Here is a 27,368-nt window from a genome sequence, read left to right as displayed (position 1 = left end):
ATTATTCCTCTTTGCTGTTGAAGATAAATTTTGCATGAATCTGTTTCCAATATTCTGTGCTTTGAACTTACTCTCATTTAATTCATGAATATGCTGAAAGATTAGAAAGCTCTTTCTGGCTATAAAATCGATGATATGAAGTCAGAAATGATGCGATCCTTGAAATTCTGTCCATCCACTTTATTTATGAACTGCAAAGGAAAATAATATCCAAAAGCCCAGAAATATTTTGGCATTGAAATGAATATGCACCCCATTAACATAGAGATAATCGAAAACTGTTGACTAAACACAATGGAGCAGAGTTGGAAGAGGAGATCTATTCAAGCACAAATCATATAGGAGTTGTGTATTATTAGAATGACTGTTTTATAAAATCAGCCATTTGAAGTAAAAATAAAAGCATATCTAAATTCTTACATAACAGAATATAATAAAACGTCCATTTGTATCCAAAGAAAACCTAAATAATCTCTAGAAGACATGCTGTATTTTGTGGAAATAAACTACATGAAGCCTCCTGAGCCATTCATGAAGGCAGTATGATGAGCAGGAAAGAAGACTTGAACCCCTGAGTCATTGATTCTAATCCTGGCTCTACCCAAATGGGCCATGCAACCTTGGGAAGTCACTTAACCTCTAAGCCCTTCAATTTTCTCATGTTGATAATTAAGAAGTTATGTTTAAGAATAGATAATATTTCTCCTGACCCTGAAACAAAAAAAATTTATAGTCAACCTCTATTCCTTGATGCTTAGCAATTGGAAGAACATATTTTAGGAAGTAATTAATGTAATTTGGGGAAGAATGTTGATCCTAGACAATTTGCTTTTTAAAATTGAAGACTGACAAGTTCTGTATGTTTAACTCCTTCTGATGCAGCTTCTATTAGATAAAAATGGCAGAAGGAGGAAAAAATGAGAATAAAAACATTTACTGGGCAAACATTTTCCTGTCTAGAGTTTTAAATGTAAATGGATTTTAACAACTGCGTTTCAGTGGTATAAGGTGAACCATCAGCCTGTCTGTCCATCACTTTACTCCTCCATTGCCTGCCCCCCAACCACAAGATGGGCGCTTGTTGGTAGGATTGCAGATATGACTAAGAATCTTATCTGAGCTATGTTAAAGAGAAAAATATAACTATATTTTTGTTGTGAATGTGTTTGCTTCTATTTTGTGCCTTTGTTTTTTATTTGGGTAGAGAAGGTGAAGTACAGCCCCTTAAGAAAGATGAGCCCCTGGCATCAGTGTAGGATGAGTGGAGCAGAGGAACAGGAATTTGCGAATTTGGGTGCATATGGGAGCATCAGCAGGAGAGGATGGGAGGATAGAAGAGCTCAAGTCATAGGGCAGTATTAGGGCCCAGGAAGAGAAACATGGCCACTGAAAATTTCTTGTGGCAAGGGTGACTGATAACATTTTTTTAAATTGAGAGAGCGATTTGAAATGTTTTTGTTGTAACCACTTTTTATCCTTGGGGCACAAAGTGAATTCCTTATAACTTCACCATTCCTCTGCCCCTGATGTTGCCTTTGCTCTGGCAAAGATGCTCCTGGAGTCAGGTGAGAACCTCAAAGCTCTGAGCCCTCTGCCAAAGGATGCTCCTTCCCACTCTATGCTCCTTGAATATTCTTGGCACCTTCTTTCTCCTAAGGACACAGCCTCTTACTCTCCCTGTAGCCTTCAGTGGGGTGACCATTGTTTTGATCACTTCCAGGTACCTTTGGATCTAGACGTGGTGCAGCTGCCATGCTCCTCCCTGCCACTACCAGACCCCTCTCCCTTTCTGTTCTATAATCTCAGCTCTATTTTCTGATATCATCCTCTATATTTCTAGCCTTTTAGTGCCATGAGACTAACAAGTCTTTCCCTTTAGCACCCTGAGACTAAGAATTCTTTAACCCCTCAAGACCCTATACTCCATCAATCCTATCACCATTTTACTGTCTTTCCAGCCCCCATATCTTTATATTCCTCCTATTGCACCTAAATTCCATGATCCACCACTTTCAGCCTCTTGCATACAACCTCAGGTCAAGCACTTACTCCTCTCTTACTTTATCATACTCACTTGGCAATTTCCAAACTCACTTCACAAGTGCACTCGCATGCTGTACATTGCTAGAAGGTAACATACATCATAAGGACTGGTATCATCCTAAATTCATGACCATTGACTTTAAACAGACTATTACTCCAGATAATCAAAATACACATACCCATTTCATTCATTATCTAAGTGATTGATTCACATTTTCTCTTTTCAAAATGTCAGTACTTCCTTTTCCACCCTAACTCTCAGCCAGATAGCCTTTATTGACAAAATAGTTTCAACTGTAACTTCCGAACACCTATCTTTTCTCCTGTTACTAGTGATGAGTTGTCCATATTTTTGCCTAAAGCCAACTTCACCATCCTATCCCATTTGGATAACACTTCAGCAATTTTTTTGCTCTCTCCTTTGCATCCCTAGTTTTTTGTTTGATTCTTAAAAATGCACATTGGCAAACAATGTTGTATAATATACCCTATTGAAAACAACAACAAACTCCTTTGACTCATATCCTCTTTTACCCCTGCCACGTTTGTTTTCTCCTTTCAGCAACATTCCTGAGTTACCTAGAGTCTCTTTCTTCAATTCTTCTGCTATTTTCTGTGGAATCCATCCACACAGTCTTTGGAGCCAAACACTTTATTAATTTTTATAGGATAACCATTGACTTTCATGTTCCAAATATATTTCATTTATAAAATATAATGACTATAATATATTTAAGTATAACAATCATTGTCAGTCTACATTATTTTTTATTTATTGCAACTTTTGATACAGTTGATCATTCCCTCCTTCTTCTAATACTCTTCACTTGCCATACAGAAGAGCATTGTCTCCTGCATGTTTTTTTTTCCTGCTATGTTGTTGGCTACTCATTTCAATAGGCTTTGCTTATTTCTCCTCATCTCTCCAAACTCTAAATGGTGGCATACCCCAAGTTTCAATCCTCTAATAGCTTCTCTCTCTCTTCACTCAATATTAGTCTACAGATAAAGAATATATGGATATTTTTAAATGCCAAGGATACATAAAGTCTTTGGTGACTATTCTCAGTTGGCATTTAAAAATATCCATATATTCTTTATCTGTAGCCTGATATTCTCTCCTGAATGCCAGACTTATATACCTAACTGCTTACTTGACATCACACTTAGATGTCCAACAGACATTTCAAATAAAACTCTCTTCTAATCCTGCTATTCCACAGACTTCTTTTTTTTTTTCTTTTCTTTTTTTTTCTGAAATGGAGTTTCGCTTTGCCACTGAGGCTGGAGTGCAGTGGCAGGATCTTGGCTCACTGCAAGCCCCGTCTCCCAGGTTCATGCCATTCTCCTGCCTCAGCCTCTCGACTAGCTGGGACTACAGGCGCCCGCCACCACACCCGGCTAATTTTTTGTATTTTTTGTAGAGACGGGGTTTCGCCGTGTTAGCCAGAATGGTCTTGATCTCCTGACCTCGTGATCTGCCCGCCTCGGCCTCCCAGAGTGCTGGGATTACAGGCGTGAGCCACCGCGCCCGGCCCAAATAATTCTTATATTCAATTCAGGTCTGTAATTCTTGTGGGCAGGTGTACTTTGGAATTTAGAACTTTTAAGATTTCATAGAAATAACACAGTGCATAAATAGTACCTAACAACCTGAATGGTGTCTGGGGAGGCCCCTGTAAACAAATATATTAATACTTATGTAATGTAATGTAATGTAATGTAATGTAATGTAATGTAATGCAAAGAGTAGTCATATTGAGATATGTTAACAATCCTAAATAGCTGTTCTTCCATTCTAAGTATTTCAGGTGTTTAGCCACTAAACATATCATATAAAACTTTCCATTTCTAACTCTTTATGGATTTTGGAATTGCAGATTAGGGATTTTGGATATGTCTTAATTATCAATGCTTAATCAGAAAACAACTGATGTTTTGGAAAGATAAATGTTTAAAAATCCTTCACCTCCTCCACAAGTGGCATCGCAATCTTCCCAGCTTGTGTGTGTCCACATGAAGAGGGGCTCAGGTGCTTTAGAGCTCTGGTTTTCTGGAAGAGGGTCTGATGGGATAGTGTATTCATAGTGAAGACCATAATTCTGATCCTGAAACAGGAGCACCTATAGTATACAAAAATGATCAAGGCAGATGGGTCAAACTAGAGCACGTGCAATGTAAAGCATAAAATTAACAATATTGATACTTAAAATGCTCATTGTGTTGTGTGCATTTTGTTGTTGTTGTTGCTGTTGTGGACATACCCTTCTCTTAATGCACACTAGAAACGTGACATTATTCTTAAATGTAGATATTGCCATGCTTTTGAAAAGACTGGAGCTTCGTACTTACCTTCATGCTAAAAACATCTTAAGAAAAGCTCATTTGAGTGAGGTCAGACATACTAGATCATTTTCTTTCAATTTGATGGACTAGACAGTTTCCCAAAGCATAGTAAATGTATAAGATGACTTTAGTTGGAGGTGGGCAAAAGTGGCGGCAGGAGTATGTGTTCTATCATATATCAAGGTGTGACCCACAATCTAATGCCAAATGTAGAGAAAAGAAAAGATGGACAGGAAGTTGCTGAGTCAAAAGAGGAAGATAGATAGATGACTTTGGGGATCACTGAACTTCATAAGGGCAGAGAATTTCTAAGCAAACTGGAGGACAAGAATTTCACTCCAGGTATGCTTACAGTTAACCTTTAATTGTAGCAAGCAAGGTTACTGATTTTCCACTTGTAGTATATATTGTTTTCTTTGAAGTTAAATTTATGTTACATGAACTTTTAATATTAATAATTGTACAGTTATGCACATATATATATATAAATAGTTCAATAAACCATAAAAATACATGAAAACGACTGAATATGGGGCTACACGTTGGACTGAACTATATGCAGGGACCATGTCTGTTTTGTTCTCTACTGGTTCCCAGTGCCAGGCTCAGAATTGGATAGTGTGGCCAATTATACATAAATACACCCACCCCCCTCCCCCACATACACACATATTTTAATGAAAGAGTTAATGAGTATATATATATATTTCTTTATACATCTATTTTTAGAAAATGTGTCAAGCAATCCCATGGAATATATCACTTCTATGGATCTGAGGATCTATGGAAACAATCTATATAATATAATATGATACATTAAAAAACATATGTACCCAAATTTTAAAATTATGATAAATTATTGAAGAACTTTATTTAGTATTTTACCTGCATCAAGGTAGTCGTAATGATAGGTAATGCAGAGTTAACATTCCATAGGAAAATTGAAATGGGCCTAGGTTTAAGTGTCTGAACATTTTTATTATATTTTCTTTCCTTCTTTTTCTCAGAGTTTTGTTCAGTATATCAACAGAATGCCTAAGATGTATTTTGATGTGCGGATTGGGAGACTAGTGTGTCGACTTTATAAATAACTATATCAATAAAAACAATAATTTTAAGTTCACAAATGCGTAACACATACAGTGTACTAATTCTATCATAGTACTTATTTTGGCTTAAATATGTCATTTGATGTTGCTGATTATAAGTGACTTTCAGCCTAATGAGTTTAAAGACAGACAGTTTAAATGGGTTTTTAAAAAATGATATACCTTACGACTATACCCAGACTATTATTAATACATAGTTTTTAAATGAATGGGATGAACATGTAAATACCAGCTATTTGTCAACTTATTTAATTACATAAAAATGTGTCTATTTTTCCTAATAAACTACCTTTTCATTGATAGAACTTTAGATTGTCCTTGAATATCTAATGCCACTTAAAACAGAGACATTGGCTACAAAACCATTAGCTCTTTCTTAAACCATTTGAATTTGGCAGTATTCTTTGCAAAAAGGAAAGTGTGACCATGTTACAGTTGAGGGGCACATGCTGAAGCATGGCAGCAGAAGGGATTGCCTTTAAAAATTCAGTACAGTCCTTCAATCTGTAATAGTCATTAAAGAAAAAATATCTTAGAAGTGCAGTTTCCCTTGGATTACTGAATAAATCCAGGTCACATAGATGCCTTCTTTTAGACATAGTTCACTGAGTTTAATTATGCTTCATGCTTCCAGGAAAAACCTTGGTAATTACCAGTTAGATTAAGGATTCTGCAGCAAGGAAACTCCCTCCACCCAACACTAAGGTCTCACATATAGTGTTTTAAAATTCTGAATTTGAAGCTTAGTAAAGAAGCCTTGGTCTTATACCATAAAATAAAAACAGGGGAGGTTACATTTATTAAAGGCAGGGAACACAATGGCATTTTATGCAATACAATCATTAAACATATGTTTGCTGTTGATACTGTTATTATAAGTGACCAAATCATGGAATGAAACAGATATTGTTCATATAACATTTGTTTCTTCATTTTATTTTCTCTCGCTAGATGGCATAAGGCAGAGAGTAGGGTTTCCAGCTGAAATTAAATAATAGGATCCAATGGGACTGTGAGGTGATGCACAAAATGATTATTCAAAGTATACTTACATTTTTGATTTAAGGCAGTTTGGTATAAAGAACTTGGATCTAAGCTTTGGATCCAAGTTCTTTGGACCTCTGTGTCAGCGAGGTAGCATAGAAGAGTGACTAATACCTAGGTTTTTACAGCTAAATAACTTATTGGACAACACTGAGCACATTGATTAACTTTTCTCATATTTAATTCTTTTTAATCTGTAAACTAGAGTAATAATAATATATATTACACAGGATTATTTGGGGGATTAAATGCTATAATGAACATAAAGCACTTTTGGATAGTGTCTAATTCTTAGTCCTCAAGAATGATGGATATTATTATTATTCTGATTTGGAATAGAAGGTACACACACCACTCACCTTGCTCCCTTTATTTCTGTTGGTAAAGCATATTAATTGCAGTTATATAGAACCTTGTAATTTAAAATGTGGTTTGTGGACCAGTAGCAGCAGTATCACGTGGAAGGTGGTGAAAAATACAGATTTTAGATCCTGCCCCAAATCAAATGAATCAGACTATGCATTTTAGTAAGAACCCCAGGTAATCTGCAGGCACACTAAAGTAGTAGAAGCAAATAGGCCAATATATGATGTGAACCTCTGGCTTCTAGACTAGCAACACACATGTCTCCAATTGAAGACAAATTTATCTTAAATCATGTGGAGATATTAAATAATGCAGCACATCATACTCCAAATAAACAGTTAATTGATCGTGTTTTAGAGTTGTTTTATATGTGGACTTAAGGAGGTGTTGCAGTGTCTGAATTTTAGACTTCTTTTTGCCATTAGGATAGAAAACTCACACCAGCTGTGTAGTCAGTCATTTGGCTCATGTGCCATTAGCACGCACTGCCATAATCAAGGTCAAAAGGGGCACATGGACCTGCCACCAGCCTGGACAGAATTCCATCATCCTGATTTTTTCTCTTCAAATTCTAACCCACTTATATCCAGTTTTTTTTTTTGTTTTTTTTTTTTTTGAGACAGAGTCTCCCTCTGTCACCCAGGCTGGAGTGCAGTGGCTTGATCTCTGCTCACTGCAACCTCCGCCTCTTGGGTTCAAGCAATTCTCCTGCCTCAGCCTCCTGAGTAGCTGGGATTACAGGCATGCGTCACCATGCCCAGCTAATTTTTTTGTTTTGTTTTTAGTAGAGACGGAGTTTCAGCGTGTTGGTCAGGCTGGTCTCGAACTCCTGACCTTGCGATCCACCCACCTTGGACTCCCAGAGTGCTGGGATTACAGGCGTGAGCCACCACGTCTGGCCTATATACAGTTTTTTACTAATGGTAACAAAGCTTATCATCCCAAATATTCAAATTTTCGTAATTCTTTACAAAAATCCATTAATAACAAACAGGGTGATGGGGAGCACTGTTAACATGTATTTATCAAATTCCTTCTCTCGGGTAGAATAACATTTTATCTAAGGTTTTTATGCAGAGTCAGATAATGGCCATTCATGGATATATAAAACGCTGTGATTTGCATGCAATATTATAGTACTCTCTTCATAGACATCCTCTTCAGTTAGTAAATGTATGTTTTTAGGAAGAAGGGTTTTCTTTGGATTCCCTGTCATCCATCTGTACTTTGCATCTGTAAATTCCCTAAAACATCTTGCTCCTCCTGTAATAATTGCTGTTTTTAGACAACATGATTTAAAACACATTTTACAAAACCTCTAAAAATTCCACTTTTTAAATAATTTTAAATGTCTGTGTGACAATTCAAATCTGAAAAATATTAGAGGAAGTGCACTGGGAATATTCCTTGCCATGAGAAGTTGATTATGCCATGTTATCAATTCATTCCCTCATACCAGAAGATGTAAAGGTGCTGTAGTAGGACCTTTGGCAGAGATCTTCTCCCAGAGGCCTCGTCTTACATAATGAACGGTAGTTCCAGCCAAATTGAAGGCTCCAGAGTGTTCAATCTTCCAGTCACTATTAATAGACTGTTTGCCAGCATCTCGGAGAGCTATAAAGAGGTTCAAAAATATAATGAGTATTAACAAGTCAGCTTCATTGATCAACATCTACTACAAATTATTTTGTTAAAACTAGTCCATTTATTTACAAACAAATGGATCAACATTCCCTGATGTAAAACTTGAGGCAGCTCTTTTTAGGAAAAGTCTGCAATCATGGCAGATGCCATAGCTCTCCTGTCCTGAAATTGTCCATAACTATATAGCCATATTTATCTTTGCCTTCTCTAATCTCCTTGGACCTTTGATGTATATATTCCTTATTTTGGTCCTTAATCATTTATTCTTTAACACATTACTATATTCAGGCTATGTGTATCTATTTAGTCTATCCAGTGATCCTATGAGCATTGTGAATACTGGCTTTATATCTCATACATGCTCTGTCTCTCCTATGCCCATTCAGAAAAGTATGTGATTAAAGAAGGATCATTAAGCAGGACATTAATTAACTGATCAAAATGGCAGGGTTATATGCATTATAAAACAATTCAAAGATAATATGTTGGATTTAAAAACAGACCCAGGACCTTTTAACATCTGTTTGTGATTTGCTGTGAACAAGAATGGAAGATAAATGTTATTTCTCACCCACAAGCAACAATCATCTATATAGGATTTTACAGAATAATTCTGTTTACATAATTTTTTTTCTTTTTGAGCTAATCTGTGTACAATTTAAATAAGATTAGTGACACGGAAATGAGACATCATGGTTACCATTTTAAATTAAGTTTTTAAAATATTTTCCTTCAAATGATTTAGTGTTTAATTTAAACTTTTAGACTCTTCCATACAACTTTACTGTCTTTCCTAAAGACATGTACATGAGGATTCATTGAAGGCTATGTCAAAATTACATGAAAACATTTTGATAACTTAAGCCAATAAATCCTGCTAGTTATTTAGGCTAATCTCCAAGTATTAGATGTTTGAAGATTTCCAAGTTTTTATCTTGTAAATAATGTTTAAATAAATATGCTATATACTAATTATGTGTATATCTGAATATTTCCCTTAAATATCCAGATTTGGAACTACAATAATAAATAAATTGAACATTTAAAGATTTTGAAAAACAGTTTCAAATTGATTTTCCTAGAGGTTGCATCAATTTATACTTCCATAATAGTGACTGAGAGTGTTTATTTCTGAGCACAGCACTGAAAGTAAATTTCTCTTACCTAATATAAAATCATGATTGAATAATTACTTATCTAGTATCAACCATAACTCAGGCAACATTCAAAGTTCTGGAACCCCCAAAATGAACAACATGTATATGTTCTCTGTCTTCATGGAACTTACACTCTAACTGCAGAGCCAGACATTAAACAAGTTACGTAGGCAACTGACTACAACATGCTGACACTTGCGTGGCAGAGTTGAAAGAGGCTCCTCTGAGGGATGTTATTTACTGAGAAAATTAGTGAAGGGAAATAAGGGAAAGGGCATTCTAGACTAAGGGAGCCATACATGGAAAGGTCTTAAAGCTCATCGCAGCTTGACCAGGACCAGGAGACCCATGTGCATGAAGTCAAACATGCTGAAGCAGATTATGAAGGGAGGCTGGAGAAATGAGGACTAGCCAGACCAGAGAGGCCTTGTTAGTATTTGAGTTTTCCTAAGAAAAAAATGTAACGGCCGGTGTGGTGGCTCACACCTGTAATCCCAGCACTTTGGGAGGTCAAGGTGGGCAGATGGCTTGAGTTTACAAGTTCAAGACCAGTCTGGACAACATGGCAAAACCCCATCTCTACAAAATATACAAAAATTAGCTAGGTATGGTGGTGCCCGCCTGCAGTCCCAGTGACTCGGGAGGCTGAGGTGGGTGGATCGCTTGAACCTAGGAGGTGGAGGTTGCAGTGAGCTGAGATCATGCCACTGCACTCCAGCCTGGGCAACAGAACCAGATGTGGTCTGGCGGGGTGGGGGGGAAAGTAAAGCTTTAAAGTATTTCGAAAAATATTCTGTGGAAAATGGGCTGGTGTAGGGTAAATTTACACAGGGAAGATAAGATATAACACTAACATGGTAGCCCAACTGAAAGTAATGGTGGCTTGGATTAAGGGAATGGATGAAAATATCAAGATTTGTTTCAGAGTAAAATGGACAGAATATGGTAATGAATTGGTTCCCCTGGGAAGTGTCAAGTATGATGCCAGGGTTCTAGGATGAGAAAACAGATGGGTTATGATGGCAAATAATGAAATGGTAAAAACTGTCAAAAGAACATAGTTGAGGAGCAATATCAGAAGTTAACTTTTTTTTTTTTTTGAGACGGAGTCTCACTCTGTCACCCAGGCTGGAGTGCAGTGGCCCGATCTCAGCTCACTGCAACTTCTGCCTCCCAGATTCAAGCAATTCCCCCTGCCTCAGCATCCCGAGTAGCTGGGATTACAGGCTGCCACCACCATCCCCAGCTAATTTGTGTATTTTTAGTAGAAACAGCGTTTTGTCATGTTGGCCAGGCTGGTCTGGAACTCCTGACCTCAGGTGATCTCCCCACCTTGGCCTTCCAAAGTGCTGTGATTACAGGCGTAAGCCACTGTGCTGGGCCCAATCTACTTTTCTTAAAGATCTATTATTTTATTCCTATTGAACTTTATAATTTTTTAATTTTGATCATGCTAAATTGATAAAATAATTAATGATTTTTCCTAAAAGGTAAATTATTTCCTTGTTTTTCATTAAAGTCTATTAAGTATTTTGAGGAATCTTTTTGGCCTAGATATGTACTAAGGTCGGTACAATTCCATTTTTTTCTCCTGTATTCAGTACATTTTTAGGGCACAATGTAAAGAAATATTTTCAGAAAATCTCTAATTAAAATGCCTTTACAAATCCTGGGGATCACTAGAGTACATTTAGATTCAATTGGTATTTTTGACATTCAGCATTCTCCAGAAAATGGCACTCACACATGTACCTTCAAATCCACACCATTTAATAGCAGCCTCACATAAAGAATCAATACTTTAGGTATATATGTTTCTTGCTTTTTGTTTTTAATTTGTTAATTTAAAAAATGTGCTTTTAGAAATCATACTCTTCACCATGATTGAATAACTAAAACTGTATTAGCTCTCCTATGGTAAATAACTAGAAAATTAGACAATGTATGAAACAGCTGTTCTCAGATGTTGGTTAAATAACAGAGAACTGCGATCCCTAAGAGAAGACCAAATGATTTGATCTCTAAAACTGCTTGGCTTTCTGCTTGAAAATATTTACCAGACCCCCTGACTGGGAGGTAGAACCCACACAGAGGACAGATGATGAGGGCGAGGGCTTCAGTGAGTTGAGGACACAGAGAACGGAGTTCAAATTGGCTAAAGCAGCTGAAGTCTTTAGTGGAGAACAAAAAAAGGCTACATATAAGAAATAAAGTTAAACTAATCCTAGAACAAAGGTTACTTTAGTTGCATACTGACAAAGCTTTTAAAAAGCCTCAAGAAGTTAAGCTGATCTGCAAGTAAGTTAACTGTCCAGCAAAATGAAACTCAATACTCAATAGTAAATAACAAAATACAGTCATTCAGCAATGTCACATTCATAATATCCAGCATCCAACCAAAAAGTACTAGGTATGGGAAAAAGTCAGGGATTGCAACCTATCATAATCAGTGGAAAAATCAGCCAATAAAAAGAGGTCCAGGAATAATAGAGATGACAGAATTTGTAGACCAAGGCTTTTTTTTATTATTATTATTTTTTCTGAGATGGAGTCTCACTCTGTCACCCAGATTGGAGTGCAGTGGCGCCATCTCATTGCAGAGGTCATTGCAACCTCTGCCTCATGGGTTCAAGCAATTCTCCTGCCTCAGCCTCCTGAGTAGCTAGAATTACTGGTGCTTGCCACATGCCCAGCTAATTTTTGTATTTTTAGTAGAGACGAGGTATTACCATGTTGGTCAGGCTGAACTCCTGACCTCAAGTGATCTGCCTGCCTTGCCCTCCCAAAGGGCTGGGATTACAGGTGTGAGCCACTGTGCCCAGCTGACCAAGACTTTTGAAGAGCTATTGTAAGTATGTTCAGTATGCACAATAATTCAAAGAAAAATATGTAATATTGAAGAGTAATGGAAACTATGAAAAATCAAATTTCACAGAATAAAATATGTAAAATAGAAATAGAAAAAATATATATAATAACTGTAATGATAAAGTCACAGAATAGAAAAATATACATAATATCTGTAATGACAAATTCACTGAACTGATTTACAAACACTTTAGATATTGCAAAAGAAGTCTGTGAACTTGAAGGAAAGCTAATATAATAGAAACTGACTGGATTCTAAAAAGAAAATAGGCTAAAAAAATGAACAGACCATAACTGTCCCATGGGAAATACCTGGTAGAGTAACGTATGTGTAACTAGAATTCCAGAAATACGGGTGGGGGCATACAAATTATTTGAAGACATTGTGCTCAAAATTATTTCCAAATTTGATACAGTCTACAAACATAAACAAATCTAAAAAATGCAATGAAATCTAAGCCAAATAAGCATAAAGAAAGCCATACAAGGTACATTATAATCAAACTGCTGGAATCCAATAATAGGGAATAACAATCTTGAAAGTGCCTAGAGAGAAAAAAGCACGTTAAAACAGGGGTAAAAGATTTAACAATTCACTGGATATACCATCAGAACTAATACAAGCCAGAAGATGATAAAATATCACATTCAGAGAAAGAAAACAAAGCAAACAAAAAAATCTCGAATTCTATATCCAGTGAAAATATCCTTCAGAGATGAAGGCAAAGTAAAAATATATTCAGACAAACAAAATTTGAGAAATGTCAGGAGACTTACTCTATTAAAAAAATTAAAGAATGCTCTTCAGGCTGAAATAAAATGGTTCAAGATGGAAAGTGGTGTCTATGTGAAGGAAGGAAGGAAGCTGATAGTGGTAAATGTATAAAAAAGTATCGATATTATTTTTAGTATAATTAACTGAGGCAAAATGATTACAATGTATTTTGGTGTTTAAAATATATGTAGAATTAAACTGATAATAGGAAATGTGAAAGTAAGATGCATAATAGCAAAAAGGAAGGAAAAAGAGGAGTATACTGTTTTAAGGAGCTTACATTATATATAAAGTGGTATAAATAATTTGTAAGGAGGCTGTAATAAGTTAAAAATACATACTGTAAATGCTAGACAATCCATTAAAAATATAAAGCAAGAATTATAGCTAATAAGCAAGTAAAGAAGACACTGGAATAGTAAAAAGTGTACTCAGTCCAACAGAAGCCAGAGAAAAAGACACAAAGGAATTAAGAAGAGATGGAACAAATAGAAAACAAATTCAGTATGGCCAAAATTATATTATGTTTAAGTGGACTAAGGACATTGGTTAAAAGAGAGATTGTCAGGCTAAAGAAAACGAAAAATCTCACAGTATTCAAAGAGCTTTAAAAATACATTGGTTAAAATAAAAGAATGGAAAAAGATGTAGCATGCAACACTAAATATTAAAAAAAATGGATTTAATGATTTTTTTTTTTTTGAGATGGAGTTTCGCTCTTGTTGCCTAGGCTGGAGTGCAATAGTGTGATCTCAGTTCATTGCAACCTCCGCCTCCCGGGTTCAAGTGATTCTCCTGTCTCAGCCTCCTGAGTAGCTGGGATTACAGGGGCATGCCACCACACCAGGCTAATTTTTGTATTTGTAGTAGAGACAGGGTTTTATCATATTGGTCAGGCTGGTCTTGAACTCCTGACCTCAGGTGATCCGCCCACCTCAGCCTCCCAAAGTGCTGGCATTACAGGCGTGAGTTACCGTCCCCGGCCAATGGCCATATTATTAATGGATACCATGGACAAGGGCAAGAAATATTTTGAGATTTAAAAAAAGACATGTTTTTAAAGGTCATTTACATTAAAATTAATTAAATTTAAATTTTAAAATGACATAACATTTGTTGAGTAGACTTAACAATCCTAAGTGTATGCTAAAGTATCAAAATGCATGAAGCAAAACTGACATAATTGAAAAGAGACAGAAAAATCCACAATTTTAGTTGAAAATTTCAATACTTAACTGAAAAAAAGATGAGTATCAGTAAGAATATAGAAGACTAGAACCAAATAAAACTAATTGATATTTAGAGATTGTACTCAGCAATTGTATTAATAGAACACAAATTTTTTCAAGTATAAACGGGTCATTGGTCAATAGATGCCATAAGTTATAAAAGAGGTCTCAAAATTGAAATTACACTGAATATATTCTCTTATCAGAACAGATTTAAACTAAAAATCAGTAACAATATATCTATTTTAAAAACTAAAAAAATTTGGAAATTAAACAATCCATTTATAAGTAACTCATGAATCAAAGTAGAAATCATGGTGCTAATATGAAAATCTTTTGAACTAAGAATATATTGTGGAATAAAACTAAAGCAGTGGTTAGAGGGAATCCTATAGCTTTAAATTGTCACATTAGCAAAGAAGAAAGCAATGAAGTTCATGATCTAAGTTTCTACCTTAAAATGGTAGAAAAAATAAATATAAACCCAATGTAAATAGAAGCAAGAAACTAATAAAGGGCAGAAGTCAGTTAAATAGAAGTAAATTAACAATAGGGATAATCATTAACACCAAGAGTTGGTTATTTGAAAAGATCAAATAACTGATAAAACTTTAGCTTATCTAAGAAAAATAGACACAAACTAAAAATATTAGAAATAAGAGACAAAATATTATTCTTATAGGTATTATAGTATAATAAGGTAATATTATAAACAAGTTTAAACCAATGAAATTGACAAGGTAAGGGAAATGAATTAATTTCTTAAAGATAACAGTTACCAAAATTGACACAAAAAGAAGAGGAATATCTGAATAGCCATATATATATAAAACATATATAAGAATATCTGAATAGCCATATATGTATGTATTTGTGTGTGTGTGTGTGTGTGTGTAGATTTGGACTTGCACATGCCAACCAACTTAGTAACCATATAAGTCTTGAGAGCCCTGAACTTTACAGTTAAGGTAAATTGGTGCTGCAAACCCATATGAGGGTTTGATTTGCCTTATAAATTCTCAGGAAAATTGATTTTTCTACTTCCACTTAGTACTAAGGTTAATATAGATACATTTTCTTTCTTCCACCTTTTGTGGTGCAATTTCTCTCTCTCCACCACAATGAAGTTGTAGTTCTTTAGAGTTCTTGCTTTATGCAGGGCTCTCCTACTAGAGCTCCCACTTTGTAAAGGCCTTAGGTTTTGTTTTCTGTCCACAGAGTCCCTGTGGCTCTCAAAGTCTACACCTGCTTACCAGAATCAAGTATAGGTGGGTCTTTATAGTTAGCTTAATTCTCTGGCTTCCTGTTCCCACTTTGTTTTTAGTATCTAAGGGTTCTTTAATTTCTTTCCAGTTCAGAGGTGTTAAGGATTAAACATTGGTGCCCTCCCCCAAATTCATGTTAAAACCCTACCCCCTAATGTGTTCTTATTAGGAGGTGGAGTCTTCGGGAGGTAATTAGGATTAGATGAGGTCATGAGAGTGAAGTTTTCATGAATGGGATTAGTGTTCTTATAAGAGTCCCAAGAGAGCTTGTTTCCTCTCTCTCTTTGCCATGTGAAGACACAGCTAGAAGTCGGCAGTATGCAATTCAGAAGGAAGGCCCTCACCAGAAGCCCACCATGCTGGCACCCTTGATCTCACACTTCTGGCCTCCAGAACTGTGGGAAATAAATTTCTGTTGTTTATAAGCCACAAAGTCCATGGCACTTTGTTATAGCAGCCCAAAGAGACTAAATGACAGGTACATTATAAAAAGTGTTTTTTCTTTTGAATTTTGCTCATTTTAATTTTTTTTTAGTGAGAAGTTGTCCATAGTGCTTTACATACAAAACTGCGTGGAAGGTAAGTAGACCCATATGACCTTTTTGAGATTTTTTAAAAAACTCATGAGATGGAATGATTTTGCAAAGATATAACATAGGTCTATCTGAAGTATTTTCCATTTTAGGCTTTTTGATAAATTACGAACAAGACAATAATGCCAGAATCTTCAGAAAAGCAAATAATAATTGCAATTAAGAATACAGTTTAAAGAAGGAATGATGAAAAACAATAATTGTATTGGGAAGGGATTAATTATCTCTATAAAATAATATATAGTTTGATGTAGACAGGTTAATTTCTTTAAGAATGATCAGTTTGCCAAGGTTCTATTTTCTTTTCTTTTTGCTAAAGCTATTTCAAGATGAATATTTCCAATGACTTCCTTCCTATACCCAAAGGAGCCTTTAGGAAATGTGATTTATGAAATGCATCTATTTGCCAAGTCTTTAGGCCTGAAATCTGTGATTTCAACACAGTGTCATTTCTTCTTTATTCCAAATTTGCCCCTCATCCATGTGTCCTACATTGGTGTTACTATTACTTACCAGAAACCTAGAAGTCATCCTTGAATTTTTATCCTCTATCAACACTCACATCTATTTTTCAGCAAGTTCCATCAGTTCAACTTCTTCAATGTCTCTGGAAGCTACTGGGTGTTTCCTATTTCTATTCTCTAGTTAGGTTTATGCAGCCGGTCTCTTTCCCTCCAAGAATGTGTGCTCCAAGGCACCCTTCCTCTGATTCATCCGAGGTGAATTATTTTTTTCTGAGTCAGCAAGTAAGGAAATGTGTTTTTGAATAAACATGGTAACATATTACTAGTATTTTCAACATTGATTTAATCTCCAGAGCAGCATTCAGTCTGTTTAGGGGCATAGATGGTGTTTCTTTCTACAAGTAAAAGACCCTGCTCACTTAGGCCTAAGGCTAAGCACAAGGAGAATTTACGGTAACTAACTGAGACGGATATGTGATTCAACTTTTAAACTGAGTGGTCTTTTAAAAACAAAGAGTGATTGGAGACTTATGTTTAGAGGTCACTAACAGAGAAAAATGATGGGATTTAGTAGAATTGGAGACAGTGAGTAGAGAAGAAAACAGTCATTTCATGATTTATACCCTTCTGAGTTAATTCTATACAATTAGTTGATCACCCTGGTTTAAAAGGGGGAAAAAGAGGTTATATGGGATAAGTTTAAAGAAAATGTGTTCAAATATGACATGTACTTTTTAAAATCACAAGTGTTGCATGGACGACAATTACTTAAAATAAGAAAACTAAAAAGGAGGCAGCATGGTTCAGTGCCTAAGAACCCAGATGCTATCCCCAGATGCCTCGGGTTCAAATCTAGATTCACAGCTTCTTAGATGTGTAACCTTGGGCAAGAAACTTAAAGTTTCTGTTACTCTATTACCAGATTTTAAAAACTGGGAAATTAATAATGCCTACTTCATAGAGGTATTCTGAGGATTTATGGATGTATGTAATGCACTGGCCTATACTAACCAAGTGTGAAACATCTTTTTCTTAAACAAATTCACTCAAAAAGTCTATAATTTCCTGTGTGCCAGACTTTGATTTAGATATTGTAGACAAAAGAACAAAATGCCTTCCAGAATTAACAATGGAGATTGACATTAGAAAAGCAAGAATTTAAACAAATAAAAAATTCAGACAAGGATATGCAATACAGAAAATAAAGCAGGACAATGTAATACAGAGTGGCTTGGTTAGAGGTCAGTGTATACAGAGAAAAAGTAATAATTTTGAGTAACTGAAATGATTTCCTGATGCGTCACATTAGAGCAGTAAAGAAAGTGAAGGATCAAGGAAGACTGTCAGTTTTTACATGAACTACTGGATAGAAATTAGTGAATATGATGAGCTGAATAACAACCCCCCACCACATATCTATCTATGCTCTTAAAAGGTAAATATCATACAAAATATCTTCTCTGACCACAAAGGGATGAGGTTAGAAATCAAAAACAGAAACAGAAAATGCACAAATTTGTAGAAATTAAACAACACACTAACAACCAATGCAACAATGAAAAAAAAATCACATGGGGAATTAGAAATTATCTGGAGACAAATGAAAACTCAACATGCCAAAGCCATACCTTATGGGACACAGCAAAGGTTTTCCTAGGGAGAAAATGTATACCTATAAACTCTTATATTAAAAAAGAAGAAAGATCTCAAAAAAACAACAAACTGAATCCCAAACTAGTAGAAGAAAGCAGATAAGATTAGATTAGAGATAAGTGAAATGGAGAATAGAAAACAATAGAGAAAAATCAACAAAACAAAAGATAGTTCTTTGAAAAGATCAACAAAATTAACAAGTCTAGCTAGACTGACTAAGGGAACAAAAGAAAAGACAAGACTCAAATTACTAAAATCAGAAATGAAAGTGAGGCTGTTATAATCAATGCTACAGAAATAAAAAGGATTATGAGAGTATTATAAACAAGTTTAGGACCATAAATTAGATAACCTAGATGAAATGTACAAACTTCCCAAAACAAAACCTACCAAAACTGAATCATGAAGAAAGAGAAATCATAAATAGACCTATAATTAGCAAGGAGATTAAATCAGTAATCAAAAATCAAAAGCCCTGGACAAAAAAGCTTTTTCATATAGTTTTAGGCAAAGGTCCAACTTCATTTTTTTTGCATGTGGATATCTAGATTTCCCAGCACCACCGGAGAAAAAGACTGTCCTTTCTCAGTTGAATGGTCTTGGTACCCTTGTTGAAAATCATTTGAATATATATATATATACACATATATATATTCCTGGACTTTCTAATCTTTTCCATTGGTTTAGATGTCTGTCTTTATGCCAGGATCGTACTGTTTTAATTACCATAGCTTTGTAGGAAGTTTTGCAATCAGAAAGTCTGCATCCTCCAGCTTTGTTCTTTTTCAAGATTGGTTTGACTATTCAGGGTCACTTCCGTATATAAAATTTCACATGAATTTTAAAATGGTTTTTTGTATTCCTTCAAAAGATTTCATTGAAATGTAAATGTACTTAATGCCACTGAATTAACTGAACTTGACACTTAAAAATAGCTGTGATGGTAAATTTTATGTGATATATATTTTACCACAATAAAAAATATGTTATTGAGGGGGAAAAAGATACCCACATCCTAATCCTTGGAACCTATGAATGCTACTGCAATGGTCTGAATATTTGTGTCCCCCCCCATAATTTATATGTTGAAATCCTAACCCCACGTTAGAATTAGAAGCATTAGAAGGTGGAGTCTTCTGAGAGGTGATTAGGTCATAAGAGCGCTGCCCTTATAATTGGGATTAGTGTCCTTATCCCAGAAAGCTAGCTAGCTCCTTCCACCATGTGAGGACATAGCAAGAAGATGCCATCTGTAAATCAGGAAATGAGCCCTTAAAGGGCACCAAATCTATTAGTGCCTTGATCTTGGACTTCCTGGCCTCCAGAACTATGAGCAATACATTTCTGTTGTTTATAAGCTACCTAATCTATGGTATTTTTATAGCAGCACAAACAAACTAGATAATTACCTTCTGTGGCACATTAAAAAATTACAGATATTAAGTTGAAGATCTTGAGATGGGAGATTATCCTGAATTATCCAGGTAGGCCTTAAATACGAGGCCTTATAAGAGAGAAGAGGAAAATTTGGACATAGAAGGAAAGGAGAAGGCAAAGAGACCATGCAGGTAGACAATGGAGTGACAAGGTCACAAGCGAAGGAATGCTGGCAGCCACTAGAGTTGGAAAAGGCAGGGAATGGATGTTCTCCTAGAGTCTCCAGAGATAGTGTAACACTGCAAACACTGATTTTTGGCCCAGTGAAACTGATTTTGGACTTCTGGCCTACAGAACTATGAGGGAATACATTTTTGTTGTTTTAAGTAACCAAGTTTGCAGTAATTGTTATAGTAGGCATAGGACACTAATGCAGTGACATTCACTGTAGTGGAGAACACCAAAGGAAGAAGAGGTTTTAGCATGGAGTGGAAATCAAATTTTTTATTTGGACTTTTGATTTTGGACTTTCTGTTAGGCTGTTCTTGCACTGCTATCATGAAACACCTGGGACTGGGTAGTTTATAAAGAAAATAGATTTAATTGGCTCTCGGTTCTGTGGGCTGTATAGGAAGTATGGTGCTGCCATCTGCTTGGCTTCTGATGAGGGCCTCAGGAAGCTTACAATCATGGCCGAAAGTGCAGGTGGAGCAGGCATCTCACATGGGGAGAGAGGGAGCAAGGGGCAGGAGGGTGGGGGGTACATACCACATACTTTTAAGTAACCAGATCTCACGTGAAATCACTATTGTGAGGACAGCACCAAGAGGATGGTGCTAAACCATTTGTGAGAAATCCATCCCCATGATCCAATCACCTCCCACCAGGCCCCACCTCCAGTATTGAGGATCAGAATTTAGCATGAGATTTAGAAGAGACAACATCCAAACTATATCAGACTTATTATTTCTGAGGTACCTATGAAACTTTTGATAATTTACATCAAATAAACATGCAAAACAATAGAGCTAGATGTAATTCCCTGGGGACAGAATATAGCAGAGAAAAGATCAGGACCCAGGCCTGAACCCCATAGTATGGGAATATTTGGAAACAAAGAGGCTGAAGACCTCACAAAAGAGACCAGTAAGTGGCATCCAGTGGTCCTATAAGTGTTTAATGAAATGAGGAGAAGTCAACAGTTTTAAATGCTGCTTACAGGTCAAGTAACATTGGATTTGTCAACATGGAGGGCATTTGCTGACCTTATAAAAGGCGTTTACTGTAGAGGGAGACAGGAAACAGGACTGGATTGGTTGAAGAGACTGGGAGGTAAGAAATTGGAGACAGCATGAAGATGTCACCTTTGTAATATTGCCTGGCTTATTTAGCCACATGTGTCAGGTTACTAAAACCCATATTATAATTTAGAATTTTGTATAATTGAGAAATTCCATTTGAGATATCTATATTCCTTTCCAGCTTGGAAAAAAGAAAACATACATGCAAGTGTAATAACAACTTGTCTGCTATTGAATGAATGTATTGAAATTGTCTAGATTATGGCCAGTGTCTCTAAAAACTGGGTATCAGGACTTTTAATCTGTATTTGAAAATCTTGTATGATCTATTTGTACCATAGTAAGTAAAATAGATTAAATACCAATGCATATTTTGGGAACAAATGGTAATAATTGGTAATGAGTGTGTCACATGATAAAGAATTCCTTTTACAGTCCCCTTTCCTCAAATTTTTCTAGTCCTAGACTTCAACTCCTATTGAAAAAAATTCAATCTGAGTTTAGATTATGTATTTTTGATACTGCAGAGTAGAAACAATCACGTAAGCTGAGTTGTTTCTATATACAAAGGATTCCTTGTTGGAACATTATTGCTCATTAAAGAAAAAAAATAGGGAGGACATTATTTTTGTTAAAAAAATAGGCTTGAGAGCTTTTTTTGTGTATGTAAAGATAATACAAACACAGTGTTACAATTCTGGAAAAATGTCTGCCTGACATAATCATATTAGGTCCCTCTATCTCTGGATGCCAGATAAAACTTAATTTCACATGACTTAATTAGATTGAAACTTTAACATATGAGCACGTATATTTTGACAATTTAGTATTTTTTTCATATATTTAAAATCATGAATTGACCTAATTAAACTATTAAAATAACTGATACAGTACTTTTCATAAGGAATAGTTAAAAATTTAAAAATGTTTTCTTCATAGGTGAGATTTCCTAAAATGAGGCAAGAGAGAGAACCCTTTTCCATTAAAAAATCAAGTCCTTTAGTATGTAGAACATTACTTCAAAAACGCCACAAGATTTCCTGACGAAACGATCATTTTATATATATATATACATAAATTCATTTATAAATGCAATTAATATGTATATATGAATGTATGTATATATGTGAAATAAATATATTTATGAAATATATATATATATATATATATGAATATAAATCATACCCAAATCATTCAATGAGGTTTTTGTTTTGTTTTGTTTTTTTATCTTGGACTAACATGTGGAAGCAATTTTTACCCCTCAAAAACATACAGACAACCAGATTGCTTTTGCTCCTGGGAAGTCCTTGGGAGAGAAGGAAAAATTTTCCTACTTGATATGACAAAAGATAGTTCCTGGGAAGTTCAAACATAAAACTAGAAACAGATTGACTTCCTCCTCATCATAGAACTCTCAGGGCAGGGAGTTGGGCTCGTACTTGGATCTTCTCTGTGTCTGTAACACAGGTTACCTAAATAGCTATGTGCCGGCTTTTCCTCCACAACTTTGATTCTTCTTGCTCCAGCAGGTATCACCAGCACTTCTACATAACCTGTAAGAGTCAATAAAACATGAAATAAATCTTGAGTTCCTTCAAAATCTCTTTTCTTCATTGACTTGCCTTTTGTTTTCCTTTTGGTTTTGGTTATTGCTATGATATTTCAGTACTTACGTAAAGAAAAATTTTTATATATAAAAGCTGTCATGATTTCCAGTGAAGTTTCTTGGAAACATGTTGAGCCTACAGCACTACGGAGGACAAACAGGCACTTTTATTTTATGTAAAACAAACAAAAAAATCTCATTGATACCTTATGAATTGTGAGGAGGGAAAAAAAAAAACCCAGTGGAACAGCCTGGTTAGAAACACAGTGGATCTTGAAATAGAACAGATAACCTCAGATTTTGTTGTGGGAACTTCTTTAGGTTAGAAAGTGTGGGGAAAAAGAATATATAGCCGGAGAAAATATAGCAGGCCTGGACTAAATCCCTGGAGTACTGAAGTATAGGACACTAGAGACCAAGCATTTTCTGGAGGATATTAACAAAGGGTTTTGAAACCGATGCCGGAGACAGAAAGTGTAAGGTCGCGCCAAGCAATCTAGGGTCATTTCTGAAGATGTCAGATAGCTAGACCCAAGACATGATTAGGTGCTTCTCAGGAAACATTTTTCAGCAGATGTAGGGATATAATACTTGAAGAGAAATAAAATGATAAGGTAAAGTGAGATAAGAGAAAATGTGCAGAAAAATACAGACTCAAGTTTCACTTAGTGCAGAATAGTGAGAACAGATGCCTACTTTTGCTTGAAGTTATTTTCCAATTATATTAAAATATTGTTCTTAGTAGTTCTGTGAAGATCCATGTATCTTATAAAAGTCTACCTTCTAAGCTTTAGAAAAGGCACAAGAGCTAATTCCAGAGTTGTCTCCTGTTTATTAATTATTCATCTTCCCGAGACTGTTGAGTTATTTGGCGTATACCAAAAGGTAGCATATACCCCCCCTGGTGGTAGTGGCTGGAATTAGTGGCATGTGCTTTTAGAATCATAATTTCCATTCAAGAACACTGTTTATTTAATTAACTATTGAATTGCACATTTCAGCAACACTAAGCCATTCTCAGTAACACTAAACATAAAAGCACTGTCATTTTTTCACATGACCAAAATACGCAGCAATTAAAATGGAAACAAATGCATAATGGCTATTTGCACACAGAAGTCAGGTAAGATGATCTCTACCCTCAGTGAGCTTATAATTGAACTGGAAAGACAGGCATAACTACCTTATATAAATGAGTTGAATACAATGGCAAATATCATGTTAAAAAGGTAATATGCAAAATGATATGGTTAATTCTCTGCTGAAGGTTATAAACCAGAGTTGTTTAAGCTACTACCTTCAAGGCTTCACTGCTATTTTTATTCACAGAGGTAGGATTTTTTTTTTCCTTGTTAAAAATTACTCATACTTGGGAAACACTGTCATCAGACAGAATCACTATGATTCAAAGGAGAGAACAACTTATAAAGGAAAGCTTCACAAAAAAGTAAATAGATGAACTGCCTTTGGAGAATGGGTAGCATTCACATGCATACAGAAAAAGGATGAGTTCACTGTGTATAAGGAAGAGTAAGGGATATGTGGTGTGGTTAGTGGCACTTGAATAAAATAATTCAGATGGAATGAGAAGATTTAAGAGAGTGGCTCTATTAAAGAGAGTTTAAATGCATGCCCAGGAGAATGAATTTATCAATTTGAAACTATCAAACATTCTATAGCAAGGACCTTGGTAATTGGATTCTGGCTTTAAGAGGCTTTGACTAACAGTGATATCCAAGAGGAACAGGGATATAGTTGTGGGTAACAGTGTCAGGACACTAATGGTAAAATCCAGGAGTAGTGGAGGCTAAGGGAGAAAATCCAGAAGATACTCTGTAGAAAAAAATTTCTGAACTTAGTAACCAAAAGAAAGTGGGTATAATAAATATTGAACACAATGCTTTATTATTAGTTATGTGACAATGGGGCATCATTTACAGGAACATGGAAGTCAAGAGAGAAATCATCTAGTTTTGGTAATAACTGAATAAATTTGGCTTTGCAATTTGTATCTAACAAAATGGTACAGCGCACTAGTAGAAACATCCAGTAAGAACTCTGTAACATCTGGAATCTAGAGAAAAGTCATGCTATTGACGTAGCTTTTCAAGATATCCTTGCAGAATCACCAAGTTAAGGCATGGAAATAAGTGGAGAAAATCAAGAAGAGAAGTCAAGGCCTTAACTTTGGTGATGGTCATAGTTTTTAACAAAGAGATAAAAATAAATCGGGAAAAAAGATAAAGGAATGGGGCCGGGCGTGGTGGCTAACGCCTATAATCCCAGCACTTTTGGAGGCCGAGGCAGGCAGATCACAAGGTCAGGAGATCAAGACCATCCTGGCTAACACAGTGAAACCCCGTCTCTACTAAAAATACAAAAAATTAGCTGGGTATAGTGGCACATGCCTGTAGTCCCAACTACTCAGGAGGCTGAGGCAGAAGAACCGCTTGAACCCGGGAGGCAGAAGTTGCAGTGAGCAGAGATTGTGCCACTGTACTCCAGCCTGGGTGACAGAGTGAGGCTCTGTCTCAAAAAAAAAAAAAAAAAAAAAAAATGAAGAAGAATCATGAGAAGGAGGAGATCTCATCTGTTTTGGGAAGTGGGACCCTATGGATGAGAATATCTCAAGAAGAATTGCTGGTGAACTGTCAAAAGCTGTATGTCAAACATGAGGCATCAAAGAGAAAGGTGACTAAAGACAGTCAGTTCTGAGTGTCCCAATCAAGAGATAACTGTTAATCTCCGAGCAAATGAGTTCAGCAAAGTGTTGGGAGCAGATGTTGAACTTCAGAATATTAAAAAAGAAGAATAGATATAACAAAGTAGATGTAGTATGTGCAAATTCTTGTTTGAGTTTAATAGTACTCTCTGAGGTATGTTATACATTAGAACTATAGTTATATCTAAGTTTATAGTTATATTTACAGCGATTCTCTATTATTGAGTTGGGATGGCTTAAAGGACAGGTTAGACTGATTTTCAAGAAGAGAGGTAGAAAAGTATTAATCAAACACATATGAAGAGAGAAAGCCAATGACTGGGAGTTAAATACTTTCAGTAAATAAGCCATTTGGCACAATTAGCAGTGTACTGACTTAGAAGCTTAGAAGTTGGATCATGAAGCCAGTGAAGTCAATATCGTAAATTTGATCCTTGTGTGTACTTTGCACACAGTAACATCCTATTTTATAACCAGAGATCCCATTTTTAATCAGCCATCTTAAAATGTTGATAGCAATCTTCATCTTCATGGCAACAGCGAAGTAACAAACGCCATATTTTGAAAAACTGCTATGTGCTAATCATTATTATAGTTACTTTACAGAAATTATTAATTTTAACCATAATTATAGTCTCCAAGGTAGATATTACACTTCTAATTTAGTATGATGAGAAAATAAAGATAGAGGAAAAAAACACTTTCCAACACTGCATTGTCAGTAATTTAGCTGACCCAAGCTTTGAACTCAGGTCTGTCTGTTTCTCCTGTTCACTTCCTGCTATAATTCACTGCAACTATTTCCTAAAATAGAAAAAAATAGTTAACACTATGACTCCCCGACTGCTGTGGCAAACAACCAAACACGCAAAAGCTCTTACAGCATGTCCTCCTTATACTTCATTTTCTTATATAAAGAATAAAACATTTTTTATGCCCATTTTCTTCTTAGTATTTACTGGTTAACTATGCATTTCAACAACTGGCCAATATGTAATTTGCCTTTTATTCCTCTGAAAATTTATCACTTGGCTAGGCAAGTTACAATGGAAGACATGATAAAGTATTAAGGAAAAAAAAGAAAACGCTTCTTGAATTTATTTTCCAGCTCCAACAAGAATGATTTAGTAAACTCTAAATAGAGCACAGGGACTGAAAACACCCATGTGTGTTTGCACGTGGGTTACTCATACAATATATACAACGTGCGTGGCCAACTGGACAAACAGGGCTGTATGGCCTTCAAAAAATTCTAGGAAGTACATAACTGTAGGGATAAAATTGTCTCAAGAGAAATAAATACAATATTCCTGAAGTCAAAAGTAGATGGTGCCTGTGATAGAATTAATAACTCATGCAGAATTTTTAAAATTGAAACTTATACAAATTTAACATTTCATTATTAAATTAGCAAATATTAATGGATCGCATACTATGCTGATAATTGCAAATATGGTGTTAAACAAAAATAGCATGATTTTTTTTCTCATTGAGCTTAAGGTCTAATGGGAAATGAAAGACAAGTGAACATAAAATTATAAATCTGACTAGAGCTAAACGATATGGATACAGATGTGGTAAACATCACTAAAATAGTCATTAGTCATAGCAGGTATCACTTCAGGGATCACTTCATTAAAGAAATGATATTTGAACTGAGAACTACGTGATATCTAGGAATTTATCCATCAAAGCCAAGAGAAAGCTGATCGATACACATTTGGAAATTCCAGATGTGGGTGTGTGTGGCGGAGGCTGTTGGGTGGCAGTGGGGGTATGGTCAGTGTGAGCACCTGTAAGAACTTA

General features: G+C 35.6%; 1 protein-coding gene across 12 annotated transcripts in view, besides 1 other annotated feature; it reads right to left on the bottom strand.

Moving 5' to 3' along the window:
• The window catches only part of ADAMTS19 (ADAM metallopeptidase with thrombospondin type 1 motif 19), a 278,386-nt gene that overhangs the window by 50,398 nt on the left and 200,620 nt on the right, over window positions 1-27,368 (bottom strand). For 6 of the 12 annotated variants that reach the window (XM_047416876.1, XM_047416877.1, XM_011543246.3 and 3 more), the window contains 3 exons: window positions 22,674-22,787; window positions 8,365-8,522; window positions 4,013-4,166 (listed from right to left, as the gene is read on the bottom strand). In XM_047416876.1, coding sequence (XP_047272832.1) covers window positions 4,013-4,166; window positions 8,365-8,522; window positions 22,674-22,787 — 426 coding nt within the window. Of the gene's footprint in view, window positions 1-71; window positions 192-4,012; window positions 4,167-8,364; window positions 8,523-22,673; window positions 22,788-27,368 lie in introns of all 12 variants that reach the window. The other 6 variants (XM_047416878.1, NM_133638.6, XM_047416880.1 and 3 more) reach the window with 2 other exon arrangements.
• Window positions 18,457-18,995: an enhancer, noted in NCBI's record as "NANOG hESC enhancer chr5:129004984-129005522 (GRCh37/hg19 assembly coordinates)". NCBI's record gives its function as "activates a minimal SCP1, AML or CMV promoter by ChIP-STARR-seq in naive H9 embryonic stem cells {active_cell/tissue: H9 hESC(naive)}" and the evidence as "EXISTENCE:reporter gene assay evidence [ECO:0000049][PMID:30033119]".

This window comes from Homo sapiens, chromosome 5, assembly GCF_000001405.40.
Source record: "Homo sapiens chromosome 5, GRCh38.p14 Primary Assembly".
In the NCBI taxonomy this organism is placed as follows: Eukaryota; Metazoa; Chordata; class Mammalia; order Primates; family Hominidae; genus Homo; species Homo sapiens.
The sequence above is the reverse complement of the archived record's forward strand: the minus strand, read 5'-3'. Positions and strand labels throughout refer to the sequence as shown.